The 9310-nt window shown below is 39.2% G+C and overlaps 1 protein-coding gene across 26 annotated transcripts in view, besides 1 other annotated feature; it reads left to right on the top strand.

Moving 5' to 3' along the window:
- GRAMD2B (GRAM domain containing 2B) overlaps nucleotides 1-7631 on the top strand; it is a 134245-nt gene extending 126614 nt beyond the window's left edge. For 20 of the 26 annotated variants that reach the window (XM_017009781.2, XM_011543593.3, NM_001146319.3 and 17 more), the window contains 3 exons: nucleotides 140-244; nucleotides 2066-2159; nucleotides 6182-7631. In XM_017009781.2, coding sequence (XP_016865270.1) covers nucleotides 140-244; nucleotides 2066-2159; nucleotides 6182-6223 — 241 coding nt within the window. In that variant the 3' untranslated portion in view covers nucleotides 6224-7631. Of the gene's footprint in view, nucleotides 1-139; nucleotides 245-2065; nucleotides 2160-3548 lie in introns of all 26 variants that reach the window. The other 6 variants (NR_146195.2, NR_146196.2, NR_146197.2 and 3 more) reach the window with 3 other exon arrangements.
- Nucleotides 6009-6564: an enhancer, noted in NCBI's record as "NANOG hESC enhancer chr5:125828434-125828989 (GRCh37/hg19 assembly coordinates)". NCBI's record gives its function as "activates a minimal SCP1, AML or CMV promoter by ChIP-STARR-seq in naive H9 embryonic stem cells {active_cell/tissue: H9 hESC(naive)}" and the evidence as "EXISTENCE:reporter gene assay evidence [ECO:0000049][PMID:30033119]".
- Nucleotides 7632-9310: the final 1679 nt, after the last annotated feature.

Consider the following 9310-nt stretch of genomic DNA (forward strand, 5'->3'; position numbering starts at 1 on the left):
GGATGTTTTTAAAATCTTTTTACCAAGTTATTTTGGAAAATACCTTGCCTCGGGTGTACCACATTGGCACTGAGTTGTTTTATGAACATCAGATCCTGGCCGTTAACCTAACGAAAGTTTCTCTTTCATCCGTTTCCAGTGTCTGTGCACTAATCATCTCGACCTTCTACATGAGATACAGAATTAATACTCTGGAGGAGCAGCTGGGGTTACTAACCTCCATTGTGGACACCCATAATACTGAGTAAGACGATTGCCTCTAGCTGTCATCTGCTTGCCATTCTGCTTAATATAATAATTGACCTGAACTTAGCATCCTTCTTAGTAAACATTAATTGGAGATACATTCTGTATGTGACATTTTGTTAAGTGTATATGTGGAAAGTAAAAAGGTAGGAGGGTCTAGAAATGAATGACCTAACCCTGTACTATTTTGGAGTTGTGGTAATGTTGCTAGTAATAAGGCAAGAAACAAGCCTAATTTTACATTATCTTGCTCGAATATGCTAAGATGCAGTTGTGACCTTGCCCCATTTATTAAACTACACAAGTTTACCTTAGTAAAATGGCAATAAATCAAGACACTCAGAGAAAGAAGCAATTCAAGAAACTCAGCACATTTTATCATGTATAACTTTTTATATTAACTCACTTATTTGCAAAACTCTTGACCACTGTCAAGATCAATGTGACTAGTAATTAATTGAATGTGTCTGTGAAGATTTTCCATCAGTCTTTTTTTTAACATGCCTGGCCTAATTAAACCTTTTCAGACATAGAGCTCTTTTCTTTAAACCTATTTACAAGAAGCTTTTGACACATTGCCTAAAAAGTGAAATAATTTATGCCATGTTAGAAAGTGTACATTTAGCCCAAGTTTTTGAAGTAGAGATATTTCCTGACAGAGTATTCACCACATGCTGAAGGCTCTATTAGAATGGATACATACACATACAAATACAGATGATTTTTCCTCATTATATTTTCACCATAACCTTAGAATAGAACTGTTCCCATTTTACAGATGAAGAAACTGAGACTCAGAGTAATAATTAGTTTAATGTCTTACAGTTTGCAGATTCAGCTGCAGGTCTATATAACTACAAAGACCATGGGCTCCTCAGTCTACCAGTGGCTCTCAAATTTTAATTTGCATCAGAATTATCTAGAATTGTTTAAACAGATTTCAGGGCTCATCTCCAGAGTGCCTGATATAGTAGGTCTGGGATGAGGCCTGAGAATTTGCATTTCCAGCAAGTTCCCAGGTGGTGCTGATGGCAATGGTCTGAGCTCTATACTTTGAGAAATACTGTGTTATACCATTCTAGGACCTTTCTTTACTCCATAGGAATTACCTTTAGGTGGCTTACATGTATGCAGGCATACAGGTTATTTTTGACCCATAAATATACACTTGAACTAATAAAATACAAAAGCCTAATAAACAGTTTGGTATGGATTCATACTCTGCCCTTAGTTTCTCCCATCTTGTTCAAAAAGTTAATATTGGCATAGAGATAAGAAGTGACTCCAGGCCAGGCACAGTGGCTCACGCCTGATTATGAGACAAGGGCAATTATAGTTGTATGATAAATCTCAAAGAAGAAACTACAAAAGTCTCGTGTTTCAAGGGACATTTGATTAACTAGATAAGGACATTCCTAAACTTGTAAAGTTCTAGTATAAATAGCTCAAAAGTACAATAATTCTTGTAAGTTTATGCTCTGGTGGAGACAGAAAGGATATTAGGGGTTAATAAAAGGGTTCTAAGAAACCACGTGCTTGAAAATAATTGCCTGATTTTTGTTTAGAAGCCGAAACACACCATATCCACTTAAACAAAAATAGCTTAAGAGATTTCCCGCTGAGCTTTTAAGAATTAGTTCCCTAAACATCTAGCCTGGAGTTGCGGATTACTGCAGGGCTTTGTCTAATATTAACAAATGAAATGTTCATTCTCTTCTATTATAAACCAATTTTCTGTTCAAATAAATTTTAAATGTGTTCATTCCACTTCTTTCCTTGTCATCCCTGCCCATAATAATTTTTCTCTTTTTTCTTACAGACAGGCAGCACCATCTGGCCTGAGGTCACAAGTACAATTCAATGTGGAGGTTCTCTGTCAAGAGCTTACAGCTAACATAGTGAAATTAGAAAAGGTGACCTATTTCTTTCCTGTGTATGGGGGCAGTCACAGTAGTGCCTGTTGGTTGCCCTAGGTCAGGTCAGGGATTACACACTCAGACGCCGTTAGTGTGCCGCAATAAACCTACATGATCAACCCTGGCTAGGGGCTTTTTATAGTAAATGTGGAAGAATATTTTTTATTTCCACAAAGAAATAGGTCTTAATCTCATTTTCCTTGAAATACATAGTCTTGTAGGTCTTTTGTTCTTCCTCCTTGATTAGACATATTACTTAATAGCACAGGGCCCAGTGGTAAGTGACTACTGACATCGGAGCTTAATGTAGGGACATAGTAGGGAGTGAACTGGAGACCAACCACTGGCTTGGCCAGAAAGTACAGCCCCAACTCCACCAAGGCTGACTGTTCCCATAGGTAAAATATTGCATGTAAGTCCTATTAGAACCATGGAAGATAGACGTCATTGTTCCCTATCTGATAGGGGAAGAATCAAGAGTTTCAAATTAGCTTGCTGAAGGTGACACACCTAGAAAGGCAGCAGACGTGAGTCTGCTGAGAGAGCATTAGAAGAAAAATACATAAATAAAGTCAGCAGATCTGGAACCTGAACCAGGCCTGTCTGACTGCAAAGTTGTGCTTAGAAGCTCTCTGCTTTACTGTTCCTCAGAATTCAGCTTTAGGCTTTGTTGATAAGGCCACAGATGTACCTTTACCTCAAAGTATCTACAGTCCAAACAACGCTAGGGCAAAACTGTCCTTAGCCTGTGGCATTCTTAGAAGGCAGCAGGAGGGTGAGCTGGAGAAGAAGATAGGCATGCCAGAAATATCCCAGAAATAAACCTGATTTACATGTCTTATTTTCTTCTCCTTTATCTGATAACTACTTTGTTTTTACCCTAATCCTTCAGGAAAGGCTTAGAGAGAATTCAGTGTTCAATTACAACTGCTGTCACAAACGCCCAGTATCTGGTAGCTTTACATCATAGTACAGTTATGCTTACTTGGGAAGACATATTTCTTCATATTAAATACAAATTAGTAAAATTTCATATTAAATACAAATGAATAAAATTATCTTTGTTTTCCTACACTCAGTGTTAGTTAGTATTTAACAGCTAAAGTATTAAGAGCAAAGGAGTTTCCAAACTTATGTTCTAAACCAAGTCAGGTCAGAGAATTCATATTAAATCATTCTATTTATGGGCAAATGTAGAAAGTTCTTTACATCGAGAATCAACCTAGAGAAGGTATGAGTTAGCTTTCTTCCTTTCTAAAACATTAGTTTCTGAGAATTGAAGATAAACGATTTTTTTTAATGAAATGCTTACAAATGTTTGGCTTTCATGCAACCCAGAGAATGAAGTGGTATTAATTTTCAATTTTGTTCACTCTTACATACCAGTGATATTCTTTGGATTAGAAACACATGGGATCCTGCCGCCTTCTTTTGTGTTTCTTCCCACTCTCCCGCTGGGCCTGGCCGGGACACCACATTCTGTAACCAGGGAACTGAAAACAGAAGAGCTTGTTCACAGCAGGCAAACAGCCTCAGGTCTTGTGCAGGGTTCAGACAGCTTAGCAGGGAGGCCGGGGAGGTTTACAGGAGCACCAGTGGAGACTACCTTTGTCTCAAAGCAGAAACTGATTCAGTAAAAAGTGGATTTGGGGTCAAAATGCGCGTGTTGATGTTCTAAAAAGTTAGAAGTTGCACACATTGCTCAAAAGAATCTAAGTATTAAAAAAGAGGTACCAGGCCACACCCGTGCTCTTTTTGATTCATCTGCACCTTTCCTCAGAGGCAGCTGGGCACTAGCGCAGCACAGCCTGCCGGTGAAATAGCAGCTCCATGCTGTTGAAGGTCTTATACTCCATACCAGCAATTCCTTCTTCTCACCTTCGGGGGCCGGTGATGTCTAAGCCTCATGATCTTTCTCTGCTTATAACTTCCCTATTTCTGTTCATGGCATCACTGCTCTTTCAGTCATCCTCATTGGAAATCTAAGAATAATTTTTAACTCCCTCTTTCCACCTGCCACTGGTTGACTAGTTGGCAAATCCAGTGAAGTCTGTCTTCAAATGTCTCCTCAAAGTTTCTTCCCACAGGTACCATCCTAGTCCATTCAGCCTTCCCACTACCAGTCAGATAGTGTGAAGCTGGATCTCATTGTGGTTTTTGCTTGTATTTTCCTAATTATTACTGAGGCTGAACATCTCATATATTTACTGGCCATTTGGGTTTTCCTCTGTAAATTGCTTAATTCTCTCCTTTGTTTTAATTTTGGGTTTTGTGTGTGTGTCATCGTAGGTGTGTTTTGTGGATTTGGGATGTCAGTTCTTTGTTTTATTCCTTTTTCTACCTCCCACTCCTGTTTTTCCATTTATCTTTGGTCCTGAGGGATACATGAGGAAGAAACAAAGCAAGAAAGTTGGGGAAGAAAGCAATGTCTCTTACGGGAACTGAAGTAAACACTTATTTTCTTAGTTCTGGAAGTGGAATTAATGGTGGAACAGTATAGTAGAAAGAGCATAAATGTTGGAGTCAGGCCTTTGTTCTTATCCCTGCTCCACTGCTTACTACCCACATAACTCATCCTGCTACTTCAGCTCCCTGGCCCTTGGTTTCATGTGTAAAGCCTGTCTTTGTGTGGTGTTGTATGGCTCAGGAGCAGGCATGCCTTTGCTGGCACTTACATATCAGATCCCCTTCCTCCTCACTCACCTGAGAACACCCATAGGACATCACAGACTGTTCCTCTAAAAAACAATATGTTCTTTCTTTTCGTCTGCAAGGTTTCTACTCCCATCACAGGGCTGGTTGTTGAGAATTCCTTGCTCTGAATTCTTTTTTTTTTCCTTCTTTGTTTTTTTTCCCAAGACAGAGTCTTGCTCTGTCACCCAGGCTGGAGTGCAGTGCCGCAATCTTGGCTCACTGCAACCCCCACCTTCCAGGTTCAAGCAATTCTCCTGCCTCAGCCTCCCAAGTAGCTGGGATTACAGGCATCTGCCACCACACCCAGCTAATTTGTATATTTTTTAGTAGAGACAGAGTTTCACCATGTTGGCCAGGCTGGTCTGGAACTCCTGACCTCGTGATCTGCCCACTTCATCCTCCCAAAGTGCTGGGATTACAGGCACAAGCCACAGCACCCGGCTTCTATGAATTCTTACAAGTTCCTTTATTCAACGGTCATTTACTGAGAACATTTTTGATGTCCAACATCGGACCCGTCTTAAGATCCAAACATCTGACGTGGTTGGTCTCTGTCCCTGTGAAATCCACAACCTTCTTGGAAATGTTAAATAATAATATCTAATTGGAGTAACAGGAGTGTTAAACATTATTATGTGGGATTTTTCTGATTAAAACCATCAAATGGGTTGTGTAAAGACCAATTTCCCATTGTCTTCTAATGCATTTGGGTCACACTGGTGTTGCCAGTTCCTTGTTCTTTTTCTTCCATCTCATTTATCTCAGTCTCTACTGACATTTTCATCTTTCTGCCATTCTCTCTTTTTTTTTTTTTAAGCCCTGTATTTCCTCATTTTAAAGTGGATTGTCAGCTGGACATGGTGGCTCACACCTGTAATCTCAACACTTTGGGAGGCTGAGACAGGAGGATCACTTGAGCCCAGGAGTTCTAGATCAGCCTGAGAAACATGATGAAACTCCATGTATACAAAAAGTGCAAAAATTAGCCAGGCATGATGGTGCACGCCTGAAGTCCCAGCTACTTGGGAGGCTGAGGTGGGAGGATCACTTGAGCCCAGGAAGTCAGGGCTGCAGTGAACCATGATCACGTCACTGCATTCCAGCCTGGGTGACAGAGCGAGACCCTTTCTTTTTCCCAAAGAAAAAGTGGATTGTCAGAGTTCTAGTCTATGAAAAAGCATCTATTTGCCTCACCTAAATTTAACCCTTTTGTAGCTTTTTATTCAAAGTGGAATAATATAGAATGCTATATAGACTATAACAAATATGCCCTTAATATACTCCATTCTATTTAATAATAGGAACTTCTTTTCTTTTATTTCAAGATACAAAATAACTTACAGAAGTTGCTTGAGAATGGTGACTGATCGACCAGATTGCTTGGGCCATCGGAATACCTCATGTTTCCCTTTGAAGAAGGTGCTTCCTGAGGCGTTTTGTTTGAGTGCACCCTGCTGGTCAGAGGTGCAAGCAGATGAGAATCCAGACATTGCATGTGGAGGTCTCCAGCTCAGGAAAGTGAGGAGGGAAATAATTTTGGTTCTTGTGCAATAAAAGTTGACCTTGACTCTCTGAGGAAGATTTTGCTGCTTTTGCCTGAAGAAAACAGACCCATCTCTGGAGGTCTCAGGAAGGGCCCAGCGAACACACTCTCTTGGATAATTACCACGATGGCGTCAGCAAACACTCCACCCTGTGCCTTTTTAGTCCTTCCCGCCCTCCTGCCTCTCCCTTACACCCCTCTTAACGACTTTCAAACTAAAGGATACATCATATACTGACAAACTCAATGTGGTCCTTTCAAGAATTAGCCATGAGTCTCAAAAAGGCAATAAATGGCTCTAAGTGGACAGGTTTGCTTCAAACAAGTAACATCTACATTTTGTCTTTTTTTTTTCAGTTCTCCTGTTATGTTCTGGTTGAAATCACCTGTGTGTCTTAATTTCTCAATTCCTTTTTGGCAAGAATATCAAGCAAGGTGAATTTAACATTATGTTTATGTTTTGTTTTGTTGCTGTAACTAATAGTTAATTGGACTGATTCTTACCCAGCCCTGGTCAAGAATCTGTGAGGCATGTGACTGAAGTACTAAATTAAACTTATTTTGAAACCAAACCTAATTTTTAAGCCAAAAGGTGTAATAGTGATTTAATACAGGATGAAAAACACTGAATTTTTAAGACTGTAGGTGGACTATGTTAGTAGTTTTCAAGCAGGATGTCTGTATTCAGCATTCAATAATGCTAAAATCCCTTTCAGCATGAAATTTGTATGTTTTTATCCTTTGCTGACTAAAATAAAATAACTGGTGGTTTGCTAACTATTTACCATATGGGTTGGCTGGTTTTTATTAATAATTGTTTAGGGTATCATAAGATCTGTAAGTACAAAGGATATTCTGTTTCTATCTGCAATGCATTTGATAATCATTTCTATGAAATGTATTTTATTTAATCAGATAAGCTAATAAGCGAATTGGTTACATCGTTTGTATCTGTTGGCCTAGTGGACAGCTGTGCCTGGTGCACCTCTGGCTTTTAATAAATACTCATTGGTTGAAACACCCTGCTAACACTGTGTTTTGTCAGTTCGTAAATTCCTTTAACCAAGACTTAACTATGCTTTTTAACTCTTTTTCCACCTGCCATCTACTACTACCAACTCACTTATACTTCCTTCCTCCCAAGTAATCATTTCAAAACTAAAAAAGGATTTAAGTTCTTGGGTTACAACGGTTTAAAGGAAAGAAAATGAACTTTGAAGTCAAAAAAAAAAGAAAAAAAAAAAAGACAATGCTTCATTCCTCAGTCCACATTTATGAGTTATGTGACCTTTAGCAAAATATTTGGCCATATCCCCCCATTTTATTGATGAGGTTGAAAGTACCAGTAAAAAGTATCAGTGTGAGGATTAAATGTGATAATGTCAGCCAGGTGCAGTGGCTCATGCCTATAATCCCAGCATTCTCGGAGGCCAAGGCAGGAGGACTGCTTGAGCTCAGGAGGTTGTGATCAGCCTGGACAACGCAGCAAGATCCCATTTCTACTAAAAATAAAAATAAATTAGCCAGGTGTGGTGATGCATGCCTATAGTCCCAGCTACTCAGGAGAATTGCTGAAGTCTGGGAGACTGAGGCTGCAGTGAGCCACGATCACACCATTGCACCCTAGCCTGAGTGACAAAGCAAGACCTTGTCTCAGTCAATCAATCAGTCAATGTGATGATGTCTCTAAAGCACATAGCCATGTCAGGCAAGTAGTATGCTTTCATAACAGCTACAATAGTCATTATTTTAAAAAATATTTTTGCACACCTGTAGTACCAGCTACTTGGGAGGCCGAGGCAGGAGAATCACTTGAACCCAGGAGGTGGAGGTTGCAGTGAGCCCAGATCATGCCACTGCCGCTCCAGCCTGGGCGACAGAGCGAGACTCTGTCTCAAAAAAAAAAAAAATTTATGTCTGACATTACAGTTTTATTAAAGTTCAGTGTCAGCACTTTCTATTCAAAACCCATTAGTGATTCAAGAGTGGGTCAGCCACCTCTGGAGAACAACTTTATAACCATATCAAGAGCTTTAAAAAGCCTCAGATTTCACTCAGTTTTAGTAATCTGCCATCTAGGAATTTATCCTAAAGCAACAATCAGAAGTATAGTAAAGTTTATATACAAGAATATTCTTTGAAACCTCTGACAGCAAAATATTAGAGAGTCTAAATATTCAATAGAAGAACAGTTAAATGATGCAGTTATTTAAAATTGCATTGTCAAAGAAAGGCATAGAAAATATCGAAAATTGCATTAAAAGACATAAAACTATAGGGTATGATCCCAACTTTAAGAAGAAAACCCTCAATGTGTGTGTGTATATATATATATATATATATTTATATGTATATGCATACATACATACACACAGAAGCCCACACACCTTTTCTGTATCCTACAGGTTTTGTATAATGAAGTCGTTACCTTTTTTTAATCAGATAAGTTAATTTACAAGATTAGGTGGCTCTCTGCAAGGAATCAGAACTCACAACTCCCACCCCCCACAACATGGCTGCTAGTTCTTTAACTGAAACTTTATTTTCCATCAACCACTACAGTTGACTCATCCAGAGCGAAAGACAGCTCCACCATTCCTAGGTTTAGTTATTGTTTCTTTGCGGATACTATTGTTTGTTTGGTTTTCCTTTACTAGCTTCCAAGTGAAAATCTGGTGCAGCTAGATCCGAATGGTGAAATCCAGGTTATAAGCCTGCATACTAACTACAAAGCGAGGGAAAGCAAGCATCTGGGATTTTTACGCCTCTACCAACTAGGTTATAAATGGGAATTCTAACATGGGGTTTCAGATGCTGAATGGCCAAAGTAATAGCAAATGTCCACAATATATTTGGCCCTTCAAAACGTGTAATCTTAAAAAGATTATCAGTTGTAATACTATTTCTATGC

Source organism: Homo sapiens, chromosome 5 (genome assembly GCF_000001405.40).
Source record: "Homo sapiens chromosome 5, GRCh38.p14 Primary Assembly".
Classification (NCBI taxonomy): domain Eukaryota; kingdom Metazoa; phylum Chordata; class Mammalia; order Primates; family Hominidae; genus Homo; species Homo sapiens.